Raw genomic sequence first — 27,439 nt, 5'->3', positions numbered from 1 at the left:
ATGAGTTAAAATAAGTTGTGAGGAATATTCTATACATCAACAGTAAAGTATTACTCAACCTCAAAAATTACATCTCTACCATAATCTATAATCTGACTGGATAAGGACTATAAATAAATAGCATATGAAAGTCTACAATAAAGCAGGGAGAAAATCATCACTGGCTCCGAATTTGATAATGACTTCTTGTTGTATGTATGTAAATATCTTCTGAACAAATTATTGTACATTTTCCTATCTCTGGAGAAAATTAATGAATTAGGTTAAACAATTTCTTAAGTTTAATGGAGCTTCTGTTTTCCTTGGCTTATGTATACTAGCACAGGTAACTTGCTGAACTGCAGCTCAGAAGAAAAAATCTATAGAGAGGTTTAGTTCTGAGGTGAATTAATGGACTTTGTTGCTATGTCAGAAGGCGAGAAGCAAGGGAAGGCAGGCGGGTAAGAGAATCGCATAACGCAAAGGACTTCAGTGCTTCAGAACAAAATTGAAGCGTTTCAAAAATTTGACTGAAGTAAAGTTCAGTAATATTTTTAATCATGGGAAATCCTTGGATAAATGTATATGGTTTGATAATTTTGGTTTAAATTAATTATGTTTTTTCTCTGATTTTATCACAATCTTAGAATTAATGTTAGCATATTTTTCTGGTTTATAAAATATTTTAACTTACCAGAGCTTTCTAGATGTCCCCTACTCGATTTAAGGCTCAGCTGAATTGAATTATTAAACTAGTATTTTTTAAAACATTTGTTCCTGTAACTTGAGATGGGGCTACAAATAATTATACTGTATAGGTAAAACCACACATACCCTACCTGGTAAAAAATTCAAATTTCATATGTAACACAATTTTCATGTAAATTTTTATATTTTAGTATAAATTCTCTGCAGTGTGTCAGTTTAAAATGAATTTTAACATACTAGTTAGCTTTATGAGCTTGGCTAATATTTCATTGAGATAATTAGTGAAAAATCTTTGGATAAGTCTCATAAAATTTTTAACATATCCTTGCTGCATATTTTTACACATTATAGAGTGGCTATCAAGTAGGAGAATGAACAGTATGTAAAAGTACCCTTAGTTCTGATTAATGCACATGTTCTTTTATACTACTTTAAGAAATTAAGTCAGTTTGAGTATTTAGAAAAGTGCATGCAATATAATTAATGTGTTTTTGCTTATCAAGGCAAAGAGAGTAATTTTGTCTAAAAGGCAAATTGTAGAGTTTTGCTAGAATATAAAACTGAATTTTAAAATACAAATTTAAGGGCATACAATAATTGTAGAATATCTGAGGGAAGTAAACTTCATTTGCTATAGCTTATAATAGCTGCAAATAATGAGTTTAAATGAGCAATAAAACGTTTATAATTTTTGGACTAACTTTACTCAATGTTAATTAGTTTGGGCATAAAACATAAAAGAACTTTTGAGTCTTTTAGTCAATTTGTTAAATGGATGGTCTCAAAAAAGTCATATTAGTATTTGGGTTACCTTTTTGATAAAATAATAAATCAATCTCCATATATTAGCCTTTTTTTTTTTTTGAGACAAAGTCTTGCTCTTGTCCCTCAGGCTGGAGTGCAATGGCGCCATCTTGGCTCACTGCAGCCTCTGCCTCCCGGGTTCCAGTGATTCTCCTGCCTCAGCCTCCTGAGTAGCTGGGATTACAGGCGCCTGCCACCATGCCTGGCTAATTTTTGTATTTTTAGTAGAAATGGGATTTCACCATGTTGGCCAGGCTGGTCTCGAACCCCTGACCTCAGGTGATCCACCCTCCTCGGCCTCCCAAAGTGTTGGGATTACAGGCGTGAGCCACCACTCCCGGCCATATATTAGTTTTTTAGCAAAAATTTAACACTTGTATTCTCCACAGTGTCCTACCGGATTAGATATAGCTCTCCTGGACTAAATTGTTTCTCACCCACAGCAATATTGCCATCCGGGAGAAAAGAGATTTATAGTAGTTTACTTTGTACTCCTAGAAATCCTTTCAAGAAGTATAAAAGTGAATACATACATATTTAAATGATAAACATTTATCTTTGTGATAAAATAGTTAAGTTTCCATGTGAGTCAGGTTTACCACATGAGTGATGAACCAGCTTTAATTAACAATATAACCATTCTCCTCTGTCACTGTAGGCTGTTCTAAAAAAAGAAAAAAGTTTACAAAAGCCTTAATTACCTTATGCTATTTGGGGAGAATTAAGCAATGAATGGAGTGTTGCATTTAACAGGTTATAGAAAATTTTTCTGTGTCCAGCATATAATCAACTACTAATTTTCAGACTGGTTTGGCACAATATAGATTTTCTGCCACTGAATAGAAACTAAAAAATTTGAAAGTCAGAAAATTATTTCCCAGGTTCTGAAAGATATCAACAAAGATATTTTTAATTGACTATGTATGATTATTGATTTGAGATTTAATATACCATGTCTATGAGAATTCTTTGTAATACTTCTGCAGTGTAATTTGCTACATAATGAAAATTCATTTTTCATAATAAATAGTTTTCAGAAGTCATGTTATCTTTCTTGCTCCCAGCAAGTAGCTCTATTTCTTGGCCACATTGAGGAATCAAAATCTAATGTAATTCTTCTAAATAGAATAGAGAACACCTAGAGTCGCTGCTCCTATGACAAATCTTTGGATAACAACTCTCATGTGCGTAAGACATTTTCTGATCTCTTCTGTACTTCAACTTGTAAAGAACTTTGGACATTACAGTCAGAAAGTCTGCTATTCCTACAAAGACAAAAGGGGAAGCCTCTAAATTCCCTGAGTAGTGGGGATAATTAGCTTTCATACTCATCTGCTGACCCCTGATTATCAGAAGACATTTTTATCTCTTTGGCATGCCCCATCACCTGCTGTCTGTCTCCAAAAGACCTGTAGATCAGAGCAGGCATTGTAAGGCAGGGACAGTTCCTGAAATTTCCAATTAACTGATGATGGGAAAGCTCAGAAACACAAACTCTGGGGAGTGGCTGCCTGGTACTGCTAATACTCCTGCTGGAAACAGGGGCACCTGGGCTACAAACAAACGTAAGACTTTGGAAGAAGGTGCGTTAACTTAATTCTGCCTTTCACATGTGAGCTCCCAATTTCCCTTGTGGCTATGAGCCACAAGGGCCCAAATTCAATGGGAGGGTGGTTCGGGTCTATCATGACAAGCCAGGATGGAGGAGACAGAGGTCAGTTATTGGGAGCCCAGATTCTTGCCCTTTAGAAACATGTGCTGTAGCAGAGAGGAACCCACTACAGCTGGGATCCTGGACTGACACAGCGAGTGGGTAGTCCATCCAGGGTCACCTGATTGATAGCAGGCCCTTCACATCTGCAGCCCCCACCTGTGACACTGTTTTTGATACCATATTCCCCAAATTTAACCCTCAAATCCAAAATAGTAAAACTACTGAGATGTTATTTATGAATACAGTATCTCTGGGTTTCTCAGATGGCTGCTGGGAAACTCCAGAGATCCTCCTCCTAGCTCTTAACATGAAGATATATTAGAAATAAAGGTAATGTTTTGCATTCTCCAGATATTTAATTGGCTCAAAACTATGCTCAATATAGTGGAAGCTGCTGTGTTTTTCAAGGCCATATTCTGAGAAAATAGCAATAAAATCATCTTAAATTAATTAAATGCAATAATTATGTATGATTACTGTGGCTATGTTACAATAATTGTGCACTTCTCAGGTTGGATTCAGGCATATTTATGTTCATGTACAAAGACTGGTGCAATAAATGTCAACCAACTGATTAAAAAAAGTAAACTTCTCAGTTGGTGACAAATAATAATATCTACTTTGTGGGGAAAATTAAAGGCCCTGGAGAGGTATCGGGATGCACTAATTGTTCTTCATGTGTTCTGTCTTTTACGGTAATCACTGATTAAAATTTCATTAGATGAGTATGTATTACACCTCAACAGAGAATGCCACTGTCCCCCATTGTGATGTCGTTTGCTATGGCAAAAAATTAACCAAACTTTACAGTTTTATTATTAGCAACATCTCCTCCCCCTATCCCCGCTGCTTTTTTTTTTTTTTTTTTAGATGGAATCTCGCTCTGTTGCCCAGGCTGGAGTGCAGTGGTATGACCTCAGCTCACTGCAAACTCTACCTCTCGGGTTCAAGCTGTCCTCCTACCTCAGCCTCCCGAGTAGCTATATTCAGGTGCCCGCCACCATGCATGGCTAATTTTTCTATTTTCAGTAGACACAGGGTTTCACCATGTTGGCCAGGCTGGTCTCAAACTCCGGACCTCAAGTGATCTGCCTGCCTCAGCCTCCTAAAGTGTTGGGATTACAGACATGAGCCACTGTGCCCAGCCCTCCTTTCCCTTTAAGCATACCTAAAAGCCTCTCTACAAAGCGCCAATCAGAATTTGAGTCATCTGGAAGAAATATCAAAAGAGCTCCAGTAATAACGGTAGCAGACACTGTTGATACTATTGATACCACAGGAAATTGACTCATGGATATAGGCCTCCAAGAATAGGCTGACCTTGTCCCCACAGACAATATTCCAACTATACGAAGTAAATGAGTCAGGAGTTCCAAGACACTCACAATGTAGAAGCGGATGAATTCATGAAAGTAGACTGCTTAACTCAAGACCAGCACGACAAGAGGTTGTTATTTAGGATTAAAGGGCCTCAGTAAGGCAATTTAATTGAGGTTAGTTTAATTTTCTACTTTAATGAACATGAGAACAACCCATTTTCTTTCTTCTTAATCTACCTTTAATCTCCAATTAAATTTACAAATTATTAAATTTGTAAAAACTAAATAAAACACTCTGAATTCTTAGTGTTGAGGGAAAAAATACCTTGCAGAAATTCTTAATATAAAAACAAAGCTAATAAGTTGCCAAGAAAAACATACAAATAATTATTTTGTAAAGAATTGTGACATACAATATTTGGTTTTGTCTATTAACATACCCTTAATTAGCAATATTGGTTAAATCTTGCACAAAGTTTCTTTAATAAAAACATTTACTTTTTGTGACTATGTAGTTATTTATATTGGTTCAATAAGAATTTGTCCTCCCTTCTACCTGAATATATTACTAATTAGAATTTTTTTTTTTTTTTTGAGATGGAGTCTTGCTCTGTTGCCCAGGCTGGAGTGCAATGGCGTGATCTCAACTCACTGCAACCTCTCAATCTTGGGCTCAAGCACTTCTCCCACCTCAGCCTCCCAGGTAGCTGGGATTACAGGCACCCACCATCATGCTAGGCTACTATTTGTATTTTTATAGAGACGGGGTTTCACCATGTTGGCCTGGCTGGTCTTAAACTCCTGACCTCAGGTGATCTGCCGGCCTCAGCCTTTCAAAATGCTGGGGTTACAGGCATGAGCCACCTTGCCCAGCCAGGAAGAATCAATTTTTTAATAAAAAATTTATAGCTGTGCTACAAATTCAATTTAACTAGACAAGACAAATCCAGTAATAAGAATAATTTCTATGTTTTTCACGCAGAAGCGATGCCTATAACATCCTTCTAGGAAACCAATCTGGTGCTTGCTCTATGGACTATGCAATCTCAGGCTTGGAGGTAAGAAAGAATGTCCTTTCTTGGCAGAGCAGGGACACCGAGACATTGGATATCTTTTATTAAAAAGGATACATTTGCATTATAAATACTGCAGATGAAATCAGGTAGAGGTGAACGGACTGGTTTGGTCTGCTCTAAACTGAGCTGTTAAACATGTAAAAGTAAATTTAAACCACAAGGGCTTTATAAATCTATAGATAGACGTAAACTTGTGAGACTTAGTTTATTGTTTCATCAAAAAAATACTAGGAGGTCATTAAATATTAATCAACACTTCTTAGATCTGTGCAAATAAAATGGATCAAATTAAAATGTAAAATCAATAGTACTGATTAGGAACATTGTTCAGCAAATGGAGGTAGACAAACATGTCCTGTAGAGAAGGAAACATGACCGCAAGATGAAGTGTAAAAACCAAAGTGACATCGGGGCCTGACACCATTGTCAGCCCATTCATCATGTCCCACTGCTGAAGAAACAGAGAAAAAAAAACTCTGCACTCTGACATAAAGAAACAATAAAAGGGTCTCTCTGTCTACCTGCAGTCCTCCAAATGAATAAAACCTTGAGCATTTCCTGAGATTTGCTAACTCCTTAATGAAAATCACTTTATCCTTGACTTTACAATGCTGTTTATTGTCTGAAGATATGTCATGAACTTTCTGAATATAATAACCATGATAAAATTGCTGTTTTCTGCCATGAAGAGATTAATATAAACCCTATAGTCTTCATAATATTGTTTGTCTTAAAAAGTTCTATTTTTTTAATTTTTTGGGCAGTTCTTTTGAAGAATGACTTCCTCACATTTCTTTGCAAGTAAATGCCTCCTTCTGCTTATTTTTCCAACATGCTTTTGTTTCTGAGCCTTTCTTTCATGCTCTATACACACAAATCAGCAGGAGATAGTACCTGCAGCTGTATTTGGAGTTTACTGCCTCAATGTTCACTTTCAATGAAAGAGCGTATTTCTTAACAGAAGACCAGAAATTCATGCTGAACCAATAAATTGTCCTCTATAGTTCTCATCTGCAAGGAGGATTTAAATATTTCTAGCTCAGTAGTTCAGCCCTGAAGATTATTTCACCCCCACTGCTAATCCCGACCTAATCTGTTTTTGTGTTGTTAATGCTCCTATATACTAGCCAGGTCAGTAATTCTGTAACAGGCTTAATTTCTTAATATTTTAGGCCATGTGTTAATTTTACTATTTCTTAGCCATTTTTTCCTCAATAGTTTTAAATTGCATCCCTGCTTACTCTCCCTTTTACTGGACGGGCTTCCTCTGTTTACTAATACAATTCCCCAAATTGATTCATCCACTTGTTGAAATACCTAATTTTAGGCCCTGCACTGACAGCTTGCCTAGGCTTATACTTGTGTTTGGTGTTGCAGTCTTCAGATTCTAAAAACACCATCTAGACCTTACATTACCTCCAGCCAGGGCTATTCCCCCAGGGCCTGCCTTAAGAAGCAGATTTCTTTTCAAGTTTCATCTTCTTCCCATTTATTTCATTTCATGACAGTTAGAGAAGCTGTATACTAACGTGACAAATGGTAAGTTAGCAGAGAAAAACGTTATTTCAGGATAAGTTCAGGGAAAGCTTTTTGGAGGAAAGTCAGCTCACATTAGTCCTGATGATGGATAGTGTATAGAGACTACAGATGATGGAACGATGAAGTGGAAACTCGAGTGGCTACATACGGACATTCCACATAGAAGCAGTGTGAGCAAAACCACCAAGACAGGAAATGAGATGGAATTGATAAGGCAATGCAAATAATTCAGGTTATTTAGATCATCAGTGTTGGGGGAAGCTGGGTTTATGGGAATCAATGGTTAATCAGAATGTGAGCACCATTGGTTTGGTAATTCATGGAAGAGGTTATCATTCAACAGGGGGAGTGGCTTCTCGATTATAAACATGTCTGAAGGTCACTGAACATCAAGGCTATCCTTCAGTTAAAATCTTATTAAAATTATACTGACCTCTGATGACCTTCAGAGAGCTCCAGCTAGATGGATTGATGATAAGAGAAATTCGAGAAGGCAATGGGGCAAATCTTTGTGCAAATCTCTGTTATGTCATATATCTAAGGCTTCTGCTGGATCCAGTGATTTGTTTGTTCTGACTGTAGTACAAATCTATTGGAACAATAAATCTAGTTATAATAAATGACAGAGGGCATTGAAGCAGATGCAAGAAGCAAAATATACAGGTGTAAAGACAAACTATATTAGGCCTCCCATCAAGCTTCTCTAATATTTTCACAGCACAGCCCTGCCTGACTTCTCTCTATCTGGATAGGCCCCTTCTGTTTGATAACCAGTTCTCTGATGTTGACTACCTGATTCTCTAGTCCTCAAGTTGACTCATCCTGTTTATTGAGAGTGACATTTTTAGACTACTAATAATATTTATATGTAAGAAAGAAACTGGGTTTTTATATAAATATATAATCTTTTCAAATAAAAGATTATAATCAAGGAACTGTAAATAATAGAAAAATTACATAATGTTTCCCTATTTGGGGATTGGTTAAATGCAATATTATAGAAGTCTGAAAAAATAATGACTGTATTACAAAAGAATATAAAAATAATTGAAGACTAGGAATTATGTCTACCAACTAATTCAGTCATTTGGCTGTTTATTCTCATTTGAACAGTAGTGGATTAAGAAAAAAACAAAAAGACTTTCGACTTCCATCACAGGGAGAAAAGGATCAAGTACACATTAGAGAAAGCTGATGGCAATGATTTCTAGTTTCAGTTTCTATTTTCTGTCAATTAACCATCATTTTGGTAAACAGCCTTTTTAAATGTCTTTTCTTTTAATTTTTAAATTTTTACTTTAAAGACAGGGTCTCACTATGTTGCGAAGGCATTGGCCTCAAACTCATGGACTCAAGTGATCCTCCTGCCATAGCCTCCCTAGGTGCATATCACCATACCCAGCTATTAATGTCTTTATAAAAGCATTTTTAACCCTACTGGTCTAGCTATTGCATCAAATAAATAGCTAATTCCATTGAGGAAGGATTAGGGACTCACGAGTGAAAATAAATGTTTTATTTGGATAATGGCTACAAAATCTCAACAGTCAAAATAAATAAGAGATTAAAGGCATGATGATGACTTAAAAGATAAAGTTAGGTAGAAATGTGAACTAAGGGAAATGACTCAACACATTCAGCAACACAAAACTGTGGCCTAAATTCACTCTGACAGTTGTTATGCTATCTCCTGCTGCCCGAGTAAAGTAAGTTATGAACAAGACACATGAAGGGGATCAGGCAGACATATGGTCAAATGCTTTCTGTGCAATATTTCTGTCTCCATATTATCTTCTCTCTCATTGCACTTTGGACATTTTTATTCTTCCTGCAGATCTATTTTTATGAAGCAATGTGATTTAAATTAAAAGAGCACTGAATTCTCAGCCAGATATTTGAGTTCTAGTTGAAGATTTATCACCTAGTGGTTATGAGATTTGGGGCAAATTACTTAATCTCTCTCTTTCTTTACCACTTCATTTGTAAGTTTTCTTGCCTCCCTACAGGACTGTATTGGGGATCAATCAATGTTGAGTTGAAGGCTACATGGTTTAAGTTGGCTTAATGGAGAAGTGGTAAATCACTTAAACGGGTAGAACAACACAGTGTAGAGGATGTTGGGCTGCATGAGGAAGTGTGGAAAAAAAGCATGCCATGAAAATATCATCACAATCTCACATTTCTTCATTTATTTGCACACTCTGAACACATGCATGTGATAAGGACTGTGCAAGGTTCTCAGGATACCCAGGTAAAAATCACCACTTCTGCCAGTCTTGACTTTGCAAGCTTGAGGAGCAGGCCTGGAGAAATTTGGCTATTACCACACCAAAGTTGTTCCTCACATTCCCTTTGACATATGGTCTCAGGAAAAAATGAAAAGAGTAAAAAAAAAAAAAAAGTCCTTCATTTTTGAAAGGAAAAGTCATAATTAATTTCTAGAAGGAGAAAGAAAAAAAGAGATAACAGTGTGTGAAAAGGCTTAGAAAATGCTAGAGCACTACAGAAAGATAATGTGAGATTATGTCTAAGAGTAGCTTGGTTATTTTGCTTTTGTTGACAAAGTATACCTCCTTCATTTTCATAGTTGTCATAATTCTTTCCATGATTTTCTTAGTGGGTTTGTTTAGGAGAAACTGTATTCTTTCTTTATTCATCTAACTCTCCTTAACTCCAAAAAGATGCTTCTTAGGATAACATTTTAAAAGGATATACATTATGCACATTTTTAATGCTTCTATACAGGACTGAAGGCCAATATTACCATGATAATAAGGCATGTAACAAAAATTTGTTCTGCAGAGAGTGAGAAAGCGTGAGGGAAAACACAGTGCAGGATTCTATGCTGTTGCCCAAGAACCCAGACAGGCAAGTGAAATAATAGAGCAGACATTTCCTGAGGCTGTGGTCGATATGATTAGGAGATAGTGGGTAAAAATGGCCTTTAAACTATATACACATGAGAAGATAGATGTGAAAGCCCATTGCAAAGGCAATAAAATTATGCAAATATAAAATATCACTATTAAAATGTATGATGAATTGACATGCCATGAAAACAGTTCCAGTGCTGGGCCAGAAATCAGGAAACATGGGCTTTTGATTTCTCACCATTAAAATGAAGAAGTTGGATTTATACCCAAGGGTACCTTGTGGGCTGTATGGCTTCTAAGTAACTGGTCATAACAAAAGGGACACAATCAGGTCAGTTTCAAACCAAGAATAAAATGGGAAATTAAAGAACTGAATTGGCTACTTTCTGCTCAAATGATTGTTAAAAATAAAGTTTAAAAAAAGCCCCAAGGACTATGCAGTGCAGTGAGCAGAGGCTCCCGATATTAAAAAGAAAACAAGGAAAATGGATTCCTGGTGATAGAAGTGGTGTGGGGGAAGACAAATAGTGTGGCTGCAAATGGAACAATATGCAAAAGAAAAGTAGCTAAATATAGCTCTTTTTTGGGAAAGAGATTGTGTCTAAGTCCATCAGTGGAAAGGCAACTTAATTGTTGTATAAGTCTGTTCAGGTTGCCATAACAAGATACCATACACCAAGTGGCTTAAACTATAGAAATGTATTTCTCACACTTCTGGAAGTTGGGAAGTCCAAGATAAAGGTGGTAGCAAAGCGGATTTCTTTCTAAGGTCTCTTCCTATGGCCTGTAAGTGGCTGTAGATTCACTGTGTGCCCATGTGACCATTTCTTCGTGCACCAGGGGGAAGGCGGACAAGCAAGCTTTCTAGTGTCTCTCTTCTTGTAATGGCATTAATCTCAGCATGAGGACACCACTCTCATAACCTCTTTTAATCCTGATTACCTCTCAAAGGCCCCAGCTGCATAAATCATCACAGTAGGTGTTAGGGCTTCAACATTTAAGTGCGGGAGTTGGTGTTCACATTTCAGTCAATTGAGGTGACAATTGAAATGTGAAAGGAAAACCATAGTTACTAGAGAGAACGGTTGTCTTGGGGAGGATCACTGGACAGGACTACGGTCCTGTCCAGGTTGTTATGGCAACCTGAACAGACTTATACAACAATCCAGTCCTAGAGGCAATACAACTTCTCTGCTGATTCCAGATTCTGAGCGCCTCTCAGTCCTTGGTTGGGTTGTTTTGATCCTGTCCATATTATATTTATAAATATTCTCTTCATAAAACTCTCTTTAGGCCGGGCGCGGTGGCTCACGCCTGTAATCCCAGCACTTTGGGAGGTCAAGAGATCGAGACCATCCTGGCCAACGTGATGAAACCCGCTCTCTACTAAAAATACAAAAAATTAGCCGGGTGTGGTAGCGGGCGCCTGTAGTCCCAGCTACTCGGGAGGCTGAGGCAGGAGAATGGCGTGAACCCGGGAGGCGGAGCTTGCAGTGAGCCGAGATGGCACCACTGCACTCCAGCCTGGGCAGCAGAGCGAGACTCCATCTCAAAAAAAAAAAAACAAAAAAAAAACCACAACTCTCTTTAAATCACACATCCGAGTGTGTCCCTTGTTTCCCACCAGAGCCAAGACTGAATTGAGATGATTTCTTAAGGTCAGGTTGATGTCCTAATCCAGTTGTGCTGCTATAACAAAATACCACAGAGTGAGTAACTTATAAACAACAAAAATTTATTGCTCACAGTTATGGAGGATGGTCAGTCCAAGATCAAGTTGCCAGCAGGTTCAGTGTCTAGTGAAGGCCCATTCCTCTGTCATCCAGGCTGAAGTGCAGTGTTGCAAGCTTGGGTCACTGCAACCTTCACCTCCCAGGCTCAAGTAATCCTCCCACCTCAGCCTCCTGAGTAGCTGGGACCACAGGTGCTCACCACCATGCCTGGCTAATTTTTTTTTTTTTTTTTTTTTTTTTTGTAGAGATGGGGTTTCACCATGTTTCCCAGGCTGGTCTCAAACTCCTGGACTCAGGCAATCTGCCAGCCTCCTGAGGGAGTGCTGGGATTACAGGCATGAGCCACTGTGCCCACCCCCTTTTTCCAGTATTACCTGGACAATGTGTCTCCCTGTCAGTATCCAGGGAATGGCACCTGGATCAAGCATTTAGTGTTCAGTTGCTACACTCTCACCTAATCCCTCATTTTCAATATTTTGCCATGTTTTCCAGTGACCCAACTGGCCACCATGTCACAGACTTTATGGTCTCCAAGGGAGACCCCTCCATTTCATGTTTTGTGATTTGAGCAACAGACTGGAATCTACTTGAAATTTGCAAATGGTCTTTGACTTGGGCTTTCCAATTTTGCTCTACTTCACAGTGTTTTCTGGGTTATATACAAGGGAGATGATCCAGTCATTTGTTAAGCGCCTCAAATAAGACATGCCCTAGATGTTTTTTTGCTTGTTTGTTTTGTCAAATTGGGATTATTTTTGTGTCTTTGGAGAATATAAAATACTAATATGAGGTAAGCACTAAGGTTCTGAGATGGCCGTGGAAGAGATGACAAACTCCATCACCATGCCTGAGAGTGTCCAATCGTCTCTGCGGGGGCCACATATTTTTGTATTACACTGTATTTGAAATAACAACAACAACAAAAAACCCTTCAAGATTCATAAAATTGGACAACTGTCTTTGTAACACTTCTAGTGGTAAAACCAGTAAGGATGGCTAGTTTGCAACCCATCTGAGCAGCCTCTCTGGTTTCATAGATATGTTTTCTCTCTGACATTGAATGGCTTTCAACTTGAAGCGGAATGCTACATCACAAAGATAAACAGGTTTGAAAGGAACCGGTTTTCCTTGTAATCCTAAACGTTCAAGTCTGCGCATTAAAAGACATTATCTGAAGAAGGGTGCAAAAGCTTCCTGTTGGCCGCCAGAAGGGTTCTCTGCAGGACACAGATCAAGTACCACAGTCTTAGGGGGAGACCAGACGCGGGGTCTCTGCGCACCTCCCCAAAGGACAATGGCAGGAGGAAAAGGAGAAAGAGACAGACGTCACTTCCTTCGCCAGCTCCGGCAGCGGGTTGATCGGCTGAGTCGGCGGAGGGTGGGGCGGAAGAGCAGACGGGGACTGGGAAAGGCGCTGTCAGTGACATCACGGATAGGGCGATTTCTATGTAGATGAGGCAGCGCAGGGGCTGCTGCTTCGCCACTAAGGAGTTCCCGTGCCGTGGGAGTGGGTTCAGGACCGCTGGTCGGACCTGAGAGTCCCAGCTGTGTGTCAGGGCTAGGAGGGCTGGGGGGGGCGGGGAGGTGCGCGGGGCAAGTGACCGTGCGTGTAAAGGGTGAAGCGTGTGAGGCTGTGGCGGGGCGGAGGTGCAAAAGCTTATACTTACCTGGCAGGGGAGATACTATTATCAAACGAAGGTGGTTTTTCTCAGGGCGAGGGTTATCCATTGTGTTCCGGATGTGCTGACCTCTGCGATTTCCCCAAACGTGGGAAACTCGACTGCATAATTTGTGGTAGTGGGGGACTGCGTTCGCGCTTTCCTCTGGTGCTTTTGTGGTGCGAATAGTAGGTGAGCCGTAAGTGTTTTTGTAATTCAGGGTGCGGGCTCGTGTTTTGTGGCTGTGTTCTGTCCGGTCAGTTGTTTCCGTTCGCAACGGTTAGTTTTCGTTTGTGAGGCCATGTTTGGGGACAGCTTAGAACTATCCACTTACTCTCTTGGGAGGCGAATTTCAGTCTCTGTTGGTTGGGGTGTTCTCCCAGGTTAGCTGCCGCTGTACTTGCTAGGTGGAGCTCAGGGATCAAGGGTCGGGAGCTTTCTGGTTTGTTCAGTGCTCCCAGGGCTTCTAACATCTCTTAAAAACTCTGGTGTTTTCTGTCATCCTCGGAGTTACCTCTTAGCCTCTGTTTTTTTTGTTGTTTTTTTCCCCCCCTCCCTAAGACAAGTCTCGCTGTACCGTCCAGTCTGGAGAAGTGGCGCGATCTTCCCATCTCAGGCTCCCGAGTAGGACAACCACACGCCACCACACCCGGCTAGTTTTTTCTCTTTTTTTTTCTTTTCTTTTCTTTCTCTTTCCTTTCTTTTTCTTTTTTCGTAGCGGTTTCACCATTCTGCTCAGGCTGGGCTCCAACTCCTGGGCTCAAGTGGTCCGCCCAGCCTTCTGAAGTGCTGGGATTACAGGTGCGATCCATCTTGCCCTGGCAGCTCCTGCTTTTCACCACAGCATTCACGGGAGTTTGTAGGATTTCTGTGTTGGGGAAACGTGTACTCAGTTAATAGAGCCAGGTGGAAGTTGTACTCAGAACTGGTGGTTTTCTTTGGAATGAAAACCGTGCATGTTGGGGGCTCTTAGTGTCCCCGTTCGGTTGTAGACATAACACCCTTGCTTTGTGTAGGGGGAGGGCTTTGCCCATGCCCTGGTGCCCTGGCGCAGGGCATCGAGGCCTGCAGGTCAGAACCGCAGTCTAACCTATGTCTTGGCGGAATACCCTGCTAATTCTCCCTGGAATGTAAGATGGGAGGTCTTGTGAGGAGGTTTCTACAAGTAAGAAAACAAATTTCCATTCGGTTTTTATTGACAAAATTGAAAATTATAATAACTGAGTCCAGCCTCTCAGATGACAAATGTCTTTTGCACTGAGAGCTGGGAACCGCCGCTTGCCTCAGCTCCTGCATGCAGGTGCAGCCCTCGCTTCCCTCCACACTTTCTCCAGCGGGTGTCAGTTCCTCCACAAGAGGCAGACAGCGTTCTGCAGAACCACAGCGCTCAAGGCCTTCGAGAGCCAAAAATCTCGGAGCGAGCTGCCCTGTCCTGGCTGTACCTCACGACTGACCTAGAAATGGCCTTTGCTGGGAGCAAAGGGTAGGGGGGAGATGGTCGTCGGAGCTGGGGCCTGTGCACTGGACCAGGTTGACCACGGGAGGGGAGGTACCCAGAGTTAGAAGGGGGCCAAGCACTGAGACCTCACCATCCTCAATCTCCAAAAGGACTCAGAGAGATGCAGAGACTGAGACAGGCTTCCTTTTTCAAGGAAAGAGAAAACTACTGAGGAAGGCCCCAGGGGCTCTGAACCAAAATCCAGACTTTTTTTTCCACCTGCAGCTTTTTGTTTTTATTTTTGCTTGAGAAGGGGTCTCGGTCTGTTGCCCGGGCTGGAGGGCAGTGGCGCAATTTCGGCTCGTTAAAACCTCCATCTCCCGGGTTCAAGCAATTCTCCTGCCTCGGCCTCCCTAGTAGCTGGGACTACAGGTGCCCGCCATGACGCCCGGCTAATTTTTGTATTTTTATTAGAGACGAGGTTTCACCATGTTGGTCAGGCTGGTCTCAAACTCCTGATCTCAAGTGATCCACCCACCTCAGCCTCCCAGAGTGCTGGGATTACAGGTGTGAGCTACCGCGCCCAGCCCGCACCTGCAGCTTAATCCCATTTCGCTGGTGCAACTTCATCCTTCCGTATGCTCAGGCCAATAAACAGTACTGTAGGCTGGTCGTTCTTTGACCCCCATACATCCTATTGGTCGGAAAATTATGTTTTCTCTTTGGTTAACCGCAGACTTTGATATGCACACTCTTTCTTGGTCTGAAACCCACCCAATAGTCCCATACGTAGATTTTTGGATAAACATAGAAATGGACCCTTCTGATCTGAAAGTTTGAAACTCGATATTTGTTTTATTTGAGTTCCTTCCTTCAGGCCTCTCAAAAAAGATATCAAAGAACTGAAAGTCACCCAGACAATGAGATGCCGGACCCCTCATTCATCCTGATTGCTTCCTTGCCCCTCCCTAGTTCCTGTTTTCTTTCTTTTCTTTTTTCTTTTTTTTTCTTTTTGAGACAGAGTCTCCCTCTGCCTCCCAGGCTGGAGTGCAGTGGCGCTATCTTGGCTCACTGCAAGCTCCGCCTCCCGGGTTCACGCCATTCTCCTGCCTCAGCCTCCCGAGTAGCTGGGACTACAGGCGCCCGCCACCAAGCCCGGCTAATTTCTTTTCGTATTTCTAGTAGAGACGGGGTTTCACCGTGTTAGCCAGGATGGTCTCGATCTCCTGACCTCGTGATCCGCCCCCCTCGGCCTCCCAAAGTGCTGGGATTACAGGCGTGAGCCACCGCGCCTGGTCTAGTTCCTGTTTTCTTACACATTGTCACATTCTTTCCCTGCCATCTAAGCCTCTAGTTTTGGTTGGTCAGGGAGATGGATTTGAGACTGAGTTCTCATCTCCTCCGCTGCAGCACCCTATTAAAGCCTCTTCCTTGGCAATAACCATCTCAGTGATTGGTTTTCTGTGTGGCAAGCAGCTGGAACCCCAGGTCTCTGAACTTTGGCAAAGGAATCTCCTGATAAAGGCGAGATCGATTTTACTGACCAAGCTGAAAACGATCAGACGTTTGAAAGCCTTAATCTCGGAGCCTGTCGGAGTTTGGTCTGCCCTTGAGGCTTTTCTTTGGGCCTACCAGTCAAAATCAGCCTGGCCAAACCTGTCTTCAAGGACCAGGGGCAGGGCCGGCTTCTCCCGCCGGGTCGGCAGCCACCTTCCCCTTCCCTGTGACTTGAAGAGAAGCTTCAGGGGGCGTTTATTCAATTTGCGAGGAGCCCGCGAGGAGCAGGTGCGCGGTGACTCTGTGGATCCCACCGCACCCGCTGCCCTCTTTGGTCCTCTCGCTGTCACCGGCGGGCAGTAACGTTCCGGGTGAGCTAGGGCTCCGAAGACAGCAGGCAGGGAGGGACCAGTGGGTAAGGGCACCGCCCGTTTAGGTCCTGCGCAGGAGGGATCCGAAAAAGGTCTTGAAGAAATAGAAAGGGAGGGCCAGATGCGGTGGCTCACGCCTGTAATCCCAGCACTTTGGGAGGCCGAGGTGGGTGGATCACGAGGTCACGAGTTCGAGACCAGCCTGGCCAAGATGGTGAAGCCCTGTCTCTACTAAAAATACAACAAGTAGCCGGGCGCGGTGACGGGCGCCTGTAATCCCAGCTACTCAGGAGGCTGAAGCAGGAGAATCTCTAGAACCCAGGAGGCGGAGGTGCAGTGAGCTGAGACTGCCCCGCTGCACTCTAGCCTGGGCAACACAGCAAGACTCTGTCTCAAATAAATAAATAAATAAATAAATAAATAAATAAATAGAAAGGGAGAGTTGGAAGTAGATGAAAGAGAAGAAAAGAAATCCTAGATTTCCTATCTGAAGGCACCATGAAGATGAAGGCCACCTCTTCTGGGCCAGGTCCTCCCGTTGCAGGTGAACCGAGTTCTGGCCTCCATTGGAGACCAAAGGAGATGACTTTGGCCTGGCTCCTAGTGAGGAAGCCATGCCTAGTCCTGTTCTGTTTGGGCTTGATCCTGTATCACTTGATTGTCTCTCCTGGACTTTCCATGGATTCCAGGGATGCAACTGAGAAGTTTATTTTTAATGCACTTACTTGAAGTAAGAGTTATTTTAAAACATTTTAGCAAAGGAAATGAATTCTGACAGGTTTTGCACTGAAGACATTCACATGTGAGGAAAACAGGAAAACCACTATGCTAGAAAAAGCAAATGCTGTTGAGATTGTCTCACAAACACAAATTGCGTGCCAGCAGGTAGGTTTGAGCCTCAGGTTGGGCACATTTTACCTTAAGCGCACTGTTGGTGGAACTTAAGGTGACTGTAGGACTTATATATACATACATACATATAATATATATACATATTTATGTGTATACACACACACACACACACACACACACACAGGGTCTTGCTATCTTGCCCAGGGTGGTCTCCAACTCTGGGTCTCAAGCGATCCTCTGCCTCCCCTTCCCAAAGTGCTGGGATTACAGGTGTGAGCCACCTCACCCAGGCCATTTTAATTTTAATTTAATACTTTTAATTTGAATACACAATCCAAAAATCATATAACAAGTACAGGAAACCCACTTTATGCCAAGTTTACAAAAACAGGAAAGATATGTCAATGACAAAGCGTCAAAGTGGCAACATCCTAAAGTACTGAGAGAAAAAAAGTTATTCTAGAATTCTATGCCAAATTGAAATATCTTTCAAAAATGTGACTGAAATCAGGACATTTAAAGACATACAAAAAAATGACAGAATTCACCGAACCACACTACAAGAAATATTAAAGGAGTCCTCCAGGCCTAAGGATAAGGATACCAAACAGAAATCTGAACCTACACAAAGAAATGGAGACGACTGAAAATCGCTATGTACGTACTTGGATGTTGGGGTTTATAACATGTCCAAAATCAAATTCCCTGACAACACTAGCATAAAGGCCAGAAGGGGAGGTATAATGTCACTTGATGGCAGACAGATAAAGATGTATTCTAGGGACCCTAAAGCCATCACTGACATAACAAAAGAAAGAGTTACAGCTAATAAGCCAAATAAGGAAAGAAAATAGAATGATATATATTAAAAAAAAATGTAATCGCTGGGTGCGGTGGCTCATGCCTGTAATCCCAGCACTTTGAGAGGCCAAGGCAGGCAGATCACTTGAGGTCAGGAGTTTGAGACCTGCCTGGCCAAAACGGTGAAACCCCGTCTCTACTAAAAATACAAAAATTAGCCCGATGTGGTGGCTCGCGCGGACCTGTAATCTCAGCTACTTGGGAGGCTGAAGCAGGAGATTCGCTTGAACCCGGGAGGCGGAGGTTGCAGTGAGAGCTGAGATGGCGCCACTGCACTCCAGCCTGGGTGACAGAGCGAGACTCTGTCTCAAAAATAAATAAATAAATAAACAAACAAAAACTGTGTAATCCCTATGCTGGAGCAACTGCTCTCCAGGCCTCTACCCTATAGAAATACACAAATGGCCAATGAGAAGTGTACAAGAATGATCACTGCCGCATTATTTGCAATCATAAAATAGTAGCGCCAAAGTAATTTCAAAGATACATGAAAATCGTTTTATTTATTTAACAAACACAAACAATTGAACAAACAATGGAAGCAAGTCCTTTTGCCTAAAGGAACACAGAGGGTCATGCGGATGTTGCTCCTCCAAGGATTTCGGTGTTCCCCAACGGCTAGTTTTGGGTCTAGTTCTTCTGGAAGATCTTATTCTTGGGGAGCTACAGGTTCTGGCGTTTGGGGCTCTTTCAGGTTCTATCTCCATTTTCCCCTCAATTCCTCCCCATTCTGCTATAATAAAAAAAAATTCTCACCTCCGGAAGATCCCGCCTGTGCCTCCCCGCCAGCCTTTCAGGAGGTCTGGACGTCTGGTCCACCGCTCCCCGGCTTCTTTCACCGCTTTTGCTTTTCCCTTCCCCTGCTCCCGCCCTCCGGCCTCAGGACCCGACCACCGCCCAGCTGAGCCCCCGCGGCTCCACGGCGCAGAAGGTGCACTGGAGGCCCTGCCCGTTGCCGCCCCGCGGGGTGCCAAGAAGTCAACGTAAATAAATGCTTTGTAAAAGGAACTTCCCCATGGAAAAATCTCTCATGATTTCCATTCTCAAGGCTCTTCAAAGGACTAAAAGCTAAAAGGATGGATTCATTCGACAAGTCCTAGTCCTGCGCCCTGGTGAGTGCCAGACCCTGCTCCCCACGAGGGGGACCCACGAGCCACCCTCACCACGATCCCTGCTCTGGTGGAGCCCCCGTGCGGAACACAGGATCCGAAGATGGCAGCGGAAGCTCCGCAGCGGCCCCAAAAGCGACTGGGCAGGGAGGGCACAGGCTCCCTCACTGGGTGAAGTCGGCGCAAAGAACGGGAAGAGCCATCCCGGGAGCCACCGGGCGTTCAGCCTCCCTAGGGCCCCCAGGCGGCTCGGGCCGGGGTCTCAACCGGGGCGTTTCCGGGGGTTTCTGAAGCAGGCGAGGGGCAGGGCGGGCCAAGGCCATTCGGCTATCCTTCTGGCTCCAGAATCTCCCAATGCGCAGGTGTCCAACGTGACCAGCGCGACTTACCACTCCAATCTCTCCGGTCTTCCAAGGCCTTGCTCAGTCGTCCTGCCGGGCGGGCCCTGAGGATGCAAGGGACGGAGGAAGTTTCGTGCGTGCGCCCTTCCTATAGCGCCCAGTAGAACTGACTGACAGTACCTGTCTCTGTGGCGTAGTCGGTTAGCGCGTTCGGCTGTTAACCGAAAGGTTGGTGGTTCGAGCCCACCCAGGAACGGTTGTTCGAGCTTTTAAAGTATTCATGCATTGTCAATCACTAGATAAATGGGGAAAATTTTATCTTCCTGGAGTCCTAAGCCACTAATTTGTGACTTATCCATGTCAAGGGCCAGCCTACCTCCCCGACCGGATTCTTAACCGGGTATCTCCTGAAATCCTGGGTTTATACGTGTGTAACTCAGGAATCCTGAAACAGAGACCTAGGAACCCACTTCTGGTGTGATAAAATTCTAATTCAGTCCGTTATACGCTTAAACGAGTAATTTACATGCCTCCATTTTTTCATATTTTAATAATAGGAGGTCAGTAATATCCCGAGGATGTGCCTGGATTTACTGATTGCTCTATCAATAATGTGACCAGTGGAATCATTCATCATCATAGTGATCCTCTCCATCATTTTTGAAAAGAGTATTTTTCCTCAGTTTGTGCATGATTTATTTAACCCTTTTCAAAATGTTTTTGTTAGCCAGGCATGGTGGCATGTGCCTGTAATCTCAGGTACTTGGGATTCTGAGGCAGGAGAATCATTTGAACCTGGGAGGTGGAGGCTGCAGTGGAGGCTGCACCAGTGGAGGCTGCACCGCTACACTCCCGCCTGGGCAACAGAGCGAGACTCCATCTCAAAAAAAATAAAAATAAAAAAATAAAGTTTTTGAGATGAGGTAGGTTTCATTGTTTTAGGATTACAAAGAATGCTGCAGCCACCTTTCTTGTACACATATCTTTGGTCATTGTGGAAATGTCTACACCGCAGATATTTCTATAGTGTAGGGAAGTTGATGCACTATTGCTACATTATAGGGTTTACATGATGCTTCTAATTTGAGTACATTCCGCAAATGTATCTTTCACGGGAGCCGTACCAAATAATATTCCAATAGCAATATTTATAGGAGGAAAAATGTGCAGAAGTGCAACTGAGCTTCGTGCCTCTCCATGGGGCCCATGTTCATAAAATGGTGGCATTAGCAATCATCTGAGAGTGGAGTTTGTGGCCCTCTGACATCAAAAGCTGAAGCAGAGGACATGAAAACCCTCACTGTGCATCCTCTCTAGTCTGGCCAGAATCATTCCTAGGTCGGTGGTCTCTTATCAGGAGGGAATGCTGCTTGCTTGTTTTGTCAAAATCACAAAACTGAGGAAAAGCATCAGGCCGTTGGTTGATAACAGTGGTGAAGCAAGTCTTTCCATAGGGCTGGTTTGTTGTTAACCCTTAGGGAAAAAAAAAAGCCGTTTTTTTTTTTTTGAGACGGAGTCTCTCTCTGTCGCCCAGGCTGGAGTGCAGTGGCGCGATCTCGGCTCACTGCAAGCTCCGCCTCCCGGGTTCAGGCCATTCTCCTGCCTCAGCCTCCCGAGTAGCTGGGACTACAGGCGCCCGCCAACACGCTCGGCTAATTTTTTTTACTTTTAGTAGAGATGGGGTTTTACCGTGTTAGCCAGGATGGTCTCGATTTCCTGACCTCGTGATCCGCCCGCCTTGGCCTCGCAAAGTGCTGGGATTACAGGCATAAGCCACCGCGCCCGGCCAAAAAAGCCTAATTCTTACCAGCTGGTGCCGTGCAGTTCCAGGCTCTTGGTGTCCCAAACAAAGACACCAAGAGCCTGGAACTGCACCAAAAACCAAAACCAAGGTAGGGGCAAGATGATAATCACAGAATGTCACCGGTATATGTTTAGGTTCAAATACTATTATGAGAAGTGGCAGGTAAAGGAGGTAGGAAAAAGAAAACACATCATGTAATTGACTGTTGTATGGAAATATTTGATGCTGAAAGTTATAATTTAAAACTATAAACCAAATATTAGAAGTGTGTCTATTTCAAAGGGAGGAAAACCATCAAAAACATTTTTAGTGCAATATTTAACATGAGCTATACAACCCTTCCTAAATGCCAAAGGCACACACAGACACACACACAGACACACACACACACACTCACACTCACGAAGAATACAAATGACTAGAACCAAGCAATGTAAATACATTCTGCTACGTATGGTAAACATAGCCTACAATGTGGAAGAGATTAGAAAATAAACATGGAAATGAAATGTTTTTATTAATTCGCATCAGTACCCACCAAAACCAATCAGCATAATCAAATATTATAACACTGAATGTAAAAAACAATCCAAAAGTCCAGAGTGATAGCAAAAGGTTTTAATTGTATAGATTAAAATTAACTTTGGACAAAAATTAAAACTCAGGCAGAGAATGTTTTCTTCTTTTTGCAACAGCAGACACTAGTAAAAACAAAGGCACAGTAAAAATTGAGACCCAAAATTTGCAGTGTAGAGATATGAATATAATAATAGACACAGGCAGGGAGGATTAATAAATGATAAAATGTTTAGAGGATGATCATTAGAATACAGGATATTTATACTCTTGAAAACTGCTTTCCCAAGTACTTCATTATAAGTAAGGTGTCTCTAAAAGGGACAGATCTCCTAGACCCCTCCTTAACCAAGTAACCAGTCCTGATATCATAATGGTGATGGACAAACTAGACCTTCTCTGCCCGCAGATGGGCTGAGGTTGGAAACTCACAGCATTGTCTCTGCAGTGTTCCCGGCAAAACGTTTAGGCTGAATTTAATCATGAAGACATTTTCAGACAACTTCAGAATGTAGATCATTGAGCCAGACAGCTGACCTGTCCTCTATAAACAAGTCCATGTCACCACCATCCATGACAACAACAAAAAGATGAGGAAATATTTGGGGTTCAAAATAACTAAAGAAATGCAGCTACATTATCTTTTTACTTTTTTTCAACCGAAAATATCTCTTCTCCTTTTTGTTGTGTGATTTGTGGTGATATGGACTATGTGAAGGAGACAGGTCAGTTGTCCTGCTCAGTGTTCTACATTCTGCAGTTGTCTGGTGATTACCTCCTATGAAACTCAGGTTAAGCGTTTTCTGCAAGAACATGGCATTGCTCATATTCTGCACCGGCAGAGTCCTGGGTGACATGCTGTCTCCTGCCAGCGGCTCCTGACTCCTGTTCTCTACAGGATGGAATTGAGAGGAGCAGGGCTAAGGCCTCCCAATGCTGTTTGTCCATCTAGCTGTGGTCTTCCTAAGTACTGACACCAATTGGAGGCTGAAGGACTGTGGCTTCTCTAACCAAAGGAGCCTAGCGGGTTAACAATTGTCAAGAGCAGTTGGTGGTTCTGAAATACAATCCTCAGCCAAGGATCCCTCCTGTGTTACAGATGGATCAGCTAAAACAAGCCAACACTGAAGACACAAAGAATGAGGTTAGGTTCATTGAAACCAGGGTAACACCTTTGGATGAGCTAAACACAAAGATGACAATGACCTTGAGCAGGTATAGAAGCTCAGAGACATGCCTGCAAAATGACATCCCTGAGGAATTTTGTAGCTACCCAGAGATACGTGGTTCAAATTAAAATGTCTGACTGATCACTCCCGGCATGTGCTGCACAGTTATGTGAACGTGTCACACCTAACGTGGGTCCATTGTCTTCAGACTGAGCACAGGTTGCCACTGGCATGGTTTGAGAATAGGAATAGAGCCATGCCCACTGAACCATCCTATGTCTGGGCTTCCAAATGGAACTGTACTTTCATTCAAATCTTCACGTGCCTATAGGTCCTGCCTGCAGGAATGACACCTCTCGGCTTAGTAAGGGCTGCTTATTGTGGGAATATGACTCCCATCTGGAACACCAGGTGGAGACTTGTCACCGTCAAAGTAAAAAACCTATTGTCCACGTAAAGGGCGAAGCTGATATGCTCTTCCTCAAATGAGTAAAACACACTTCTGTAGTGCTGGAATGAGTCAGGTAGTTCAAAGTACATTGACGGAGTCGAATAACATATATCCAGTGAGTCCTGCAAGACTTCAGGCTCTTCCACTTCCATCAGCATGCTGTTGAGCCTGCAAAAGGAGACAAAACTAAAGAAGCAGCCAGGGAAAATCGGACACCACAGAGCCCCACTAGATTTCAGAAGTAACATAAGGAAGTGGTTAGAAAAGAAAAAGGATAGATCCATTAATGAGGTAAAAAAAAAATTTATTGCCTTTATGTTGGGATAGAACAGGGCCAGGTAGAAAACAATGAAAGAGAAAGACAGAGAGAGAGACAGAGACAGAGACAGAGAGAAAGTGACCTAGTGAATTGGCCAGGTGACATACTGGTAAGGGAGTCAAAGGACACTCTGAGTTAGTGCCCTCATGACACACAGCAAACTGTGATCATGAAAAGAGTGAGCTCAATAGTTTTCCATAAAATATGCTCAAAATTCGATGCAGTGGCCATGAGAGTACAACTTTTGAAGTATGGTCAACCTGTGGTACGTTAGTAAATGATAAGGGGAGGAAGAAATGGAAACCTAAACATCTACTGCAATGAAAACCAACAGCAATGACAGTAGGAGTAATTCAGCCTTCGTTGAAAACATGACATCAAACACACTCTGGTTTCCCTGAATCTGTTGCCTCCAGGTGTTAACACAGAATTAAGCATCCACAATTGCTGAAAGTCACCTGGGGCATGGTGGGTTTTGATCTTCTTCCCCTTCTTTTCTTCCCCTTCTTCTTTCCTTCTTTGATCTTCTTCCCCTTCTTTTCTTCCCCTTCCCCTTCTTTTCAATTTCTGCAATAAATTCAGACATGGACAGACACATTAAGCTGATTCCCCTACACACATAACAATCCACTGTCTAATCCTCACACAGGGACCTCAGGCTCCTCAGCATAAGAATAGGACACTGTGAGAGATATATTTCAGGAGGCCTGAAGGCTGGTCATGATAGAAATTCCTCGGTTTTTCTCCCAGAAACTGTGGGTAAAATGTCCCTATTCTAGTAGATCGTTATCCCAATATCATTTGTCCCAAATTTGTGCAAACAGTTATGCCATATTTTTACAATCAACTTAAAGCAAATACCCTCAAATGATTTCTAGGAGAAAAACTGCAATATTTAGCCCTGTCTCATCAAATAGTCAGATTGTTCATGGTTGTGAGGACTTTAGACACTGAAATTAGAGTGAAAAAGGAAATCTACAAACCCTTGAGTCAAAATCATAGTTCTCTGAATTTGTCACATCTGCCCAGGTCCAATGTCATGAGAATAGGATCAGGGCGCCACAGGTATGGCCTGAGACTAGGAAGAGAGTCTTGCTCACTGACCCATCCCTTGTCTGGGCTTCCAGGTAGAACTAGAGTTTCATTCAACCTACATGTGCGTATAGGTCCTCCCTGTGGCAATGACATCTCTCAGCTCAGTAATGGCCACTTGGAGCAGGAATATGATCTTTATATGGAAGACTCAGTGGATCCTTATCACCTTCATAGAAAGGTACTCACCTCCCACGTCAAGAGAAAAGCCAACATGTTTTTCCTCCAATGCATAAAAGGAACTTCCATAGGGCTGGCAGGAGTCAGGCTGTTCAAGACAACTGGAAGGAGTTGAATAACATCTATCCAGTGAGTCCTGCAAGACTTCAGGCTCTACTACCTCCAGCAGCTCCCTGCTGAGCCTGGAAAAGGAGGAAAAAGTAAAGAATAAGCCAGGGGAAATCAGACACAACAGAGCCCCAACTAGGTTTCATGGGTAGCATAGGGAAGTGGTTAAAAAACTAAAAGGATAGATCCATTAATGAGGTAACAAATTATTGCCTTCATGTTGGGACAGAACAGGGCCAAATGGAAAAGAATGAAAGAGAAAGACAGATAGACACACACACACACACACACACACACACACACACACACAGAGAGAGAGAGAGAGAGAACGAGCTCAGTGAATTGTCCAGGTGACACACTGATGAGGGAGTAACAGGACACTCTGAGTTAGTGCCCTCAGGACACACAGCATACAGGGATCATGAAAAGACTGTGCTCAATAATTTTCCATAAAATGTGCTCAAGTTTCCATGCAGTCGCCATGAGAATACAGTTTTTGAAGTCTGGTCCACCTACAGTAGGTTAGTAAATGAGAAGGGGAGGAAGAAATGGAAACCTAAATATCTACTGCAATGAAAACCAACAGCAATGTTAGTAGGAATAATTCAGGCTTGGTTGAAAAGATGTAATCGATAATGTCAGCCCGCTCTGTTTTCCCTGAACCAGGAGTCTCCAGATGTCAACACAGAAGTAGCTGTTCACAATTGCTCAGTTACCTGGGGCATGGTGGGCCTTGGTCTTCTTCCTCTTCTTGGTCCTTTTTAATTCCTGCAATACATTCAGACAGGGACAGACAAAATAAGCCAATTCACCTACACCCATAACAGTCCACTGTCTAATCCCCACACAGGGATCTCAGGCTCCTCAGCATGAGAACAGGACAATGTGAGAGATGTACTTCAGGAGGCCTGAAAGCTGGTCATGATATTCTTTGGTTTGCATCTCAGAACCAAGGGTGAAATATCCCCATTCTGGTAGATCGTTATCCCAAAATCATTTATCCCAAGTTTGTGCAAACAGTTATGCCTTATTGTTCCCATCAGTTCAAAGAAAATGCCCCAGATGATTTCTAGGAGGAAAACTGCAGTATTCAGCCCTGTCTCATCAAATGCCCAGCTCGTTCATGGATGCAAGAATTTTAGACACTGAAATTAGAATGAAGGAGGAAATCTACAAACCCTTGAGTCCAAATCATACTTCTGTGAATTTTTTACATCTGCCTGGGTCCAATGTGCTGAGAGCGGGCTCAGGTTGCCACAGGCATGGCTGGAGACTAGGAATGGAGCCTTGCTCACTGACCCATTTCATGTCTAGGCTTCCAACTGAGACTACAGTTTCATTACAACCTATATGCGCCCATAGGTCCTGCCTGCGGCAATGACATCTCTCGGGTCAGTAAGGGCCACTTGGAACAGGAATATCACCCCTATCTGGAAGACCAGGTGGAGGCTTATCACCTTCATAGTAAGGTACTCACTGTCCACGTCAAGAGCCAAGCCAAGGTACTGTTCCTCCAATGAGTAAACAGCACTGCTGTAGGGCTGGCCTAAGTCAGGCAGTTCAAGATAACCTGAAGGAGTCGAATAACATCTACCCAGTGAGTCCTGCAAGACTTCAGGCTCTTTCTCATCCAGCAGCTCCCTGCTGAGCCTGGAAAAGTAGGAAAAAGTAAAGAATAAGCCAGGGGGAATCAGAAACCACACAGCTCCAGCTAGATTTCATGGCTAACATAAGGAACTGTTTAAAAAGAAAAAGGACAGATCCATTAATGAGGTAATGAATTATTGCCTTTAGGTTGGGATAGACCAGGGCCAGGTAGAAAAGAATGAAAGAGAAAGACAGGGAGAGGCAGAGAGAGAGAGAGAGAG

General features: G+C 42.7%; 1 protein-coding gene and 2 non-coding genes across 5 annotated transcripts in view, besides 5 other annotated features; 2 read left to right on the top strand and 1 right to left on the bottom strand.

Annotated features, from left to right (window-relative positions):
- Window positions 12,395-13,239: an enhancer, noted in NCBI's record as "H3K27ac hESC enhancer chr1:147993136-147993980 (GRCh37/hg19 assembly coordinates)". NCBI's record gives its function as "activates a minimal SCP1, AML or CMV promoter by ChIP-STARR-seq in naive H9 embryonic stem cells {active_cell/tissue: H9 hESC(naive)}" and the evidence as "EXISTENCE:reporter gene assay evidence [ECO:0000049][PMID:30033119]".
- Window positions 13,345-13,674: a silencer, noted in NCBI's record as "silent region_1251". NCBI's record gives its function as "represses an Ori minimal core promoter by ATAC-STARR-seq in GM12878 lymphoblastoid cells {active_cell/tissue: GM12878}" and the evidence as "EXISTENCE:reporter gene assay evidence [ECO:0000049][PMID:35858748]".
- Window positions 13,405-13,571, top strand: RNVU1-19 (RNA, variant U1 small nuclear 19). Its single transcript, NR_104086.2, has one exon. It is a non-coding gene; the product is annotated as an RNA, variant U1 small nuclear 19 (small nuclear RNA).
- Window positions 13,925-14,024: an enhancer, noted in NCBI's record as "active region_1603". NCBI's record gives its function as "activates an Ori minimal core promoter by ATAC-STARR-seq in GM12878 lymphoblastoid cells {active_cell/tissue: GM12878}" and the evidence as "EXISTENCE:reporter gene assay evidence [ECO:0000049][PMID:35858748]".
- Window positions 19,844-19,943: an enhancer, noted in NCBI's record as "active region_1602". NCBI's record gives its function as "activates an Ori minimal core promoter by ATAC-STARR-seq in GM12878 lymphoblastoid cells {active_cell/tissue: GM12878}" and the evidence as "EXISTENCE:reporter gene assay evidence [ECO:0000049][PMID:35858748]".
- Window positions 20,024-20,163: a silencer, noted in NCBI's record as "silent region_1250". NCBI's record gives its function as "represses an Ori minimal core promoter by ATAC-STARR-seq in GM12878 lymphoblastoid cells {active_cell/tissue: GM12878}" and the evidence as "EXISTENCE:reporter gene assay evidence [ECO:0000049][PMID:35858748]".
- Window positions 20,055-20,128, top strand: TRN-GTT7-1 (tRNA-Asn (anticodon GTT) 7-1). Its single transcript has one exon. It is a non-coding gene; the product is annotated as a tRNA-Asn (tRNA).
- Window positions 22,161-27,439, bottom strand: part of NBPF26 (NBPF member 26) — a 118,285-nt gene continuing 113,006 nt past the window's right edge. For all 3 annotated transcript variants that reach the window (NM_001405520.1, NM_001351372.2, NM_001395637.2), the window contains 5 exons: window positions 27,049-27,221; window positions 26,288-26,339; window positions 25,473-25,645; window positions 24,650-24,758; window positions 22,161-24,040 (listed from right to left, as the gene is read on the bottom strand). In NM_001405520.1, coding sequence (NP_001392449.1) covers window positions 23,797-24,040; window positions 24,650-24,758; window positions 25,473-25,645; window positions 26,288-26,339; window positions 27,049-27,221 — 751 coding nt within the window. In that variant the 3' untranslated portion in view covers window positions 22,161-23,796. The remainder of the gene's footprint in view (window positions 24,041-24,649; window positions 24,759-25,472; window positions 25,646-26,287; window positions 26,340-27,048; window positions 27,222-27,439) is intronic.

The sequence above is a fragment of the Homo sapiens genome, chromosome 1 (assembly GCF_000001405.40).
Source record: "Homo sapiens chromosome 1, GRCh38.p14 Primary Assembly".
NCBI classification, from domain to species: Eukaryota; Metazoa; Chordata; class Mammalia; order Primates; family Hominidae; genus Homo; species Homo sapiens.
This window is presented reverse-complemented; position numbering and strand designations above follow the sequence as displayed.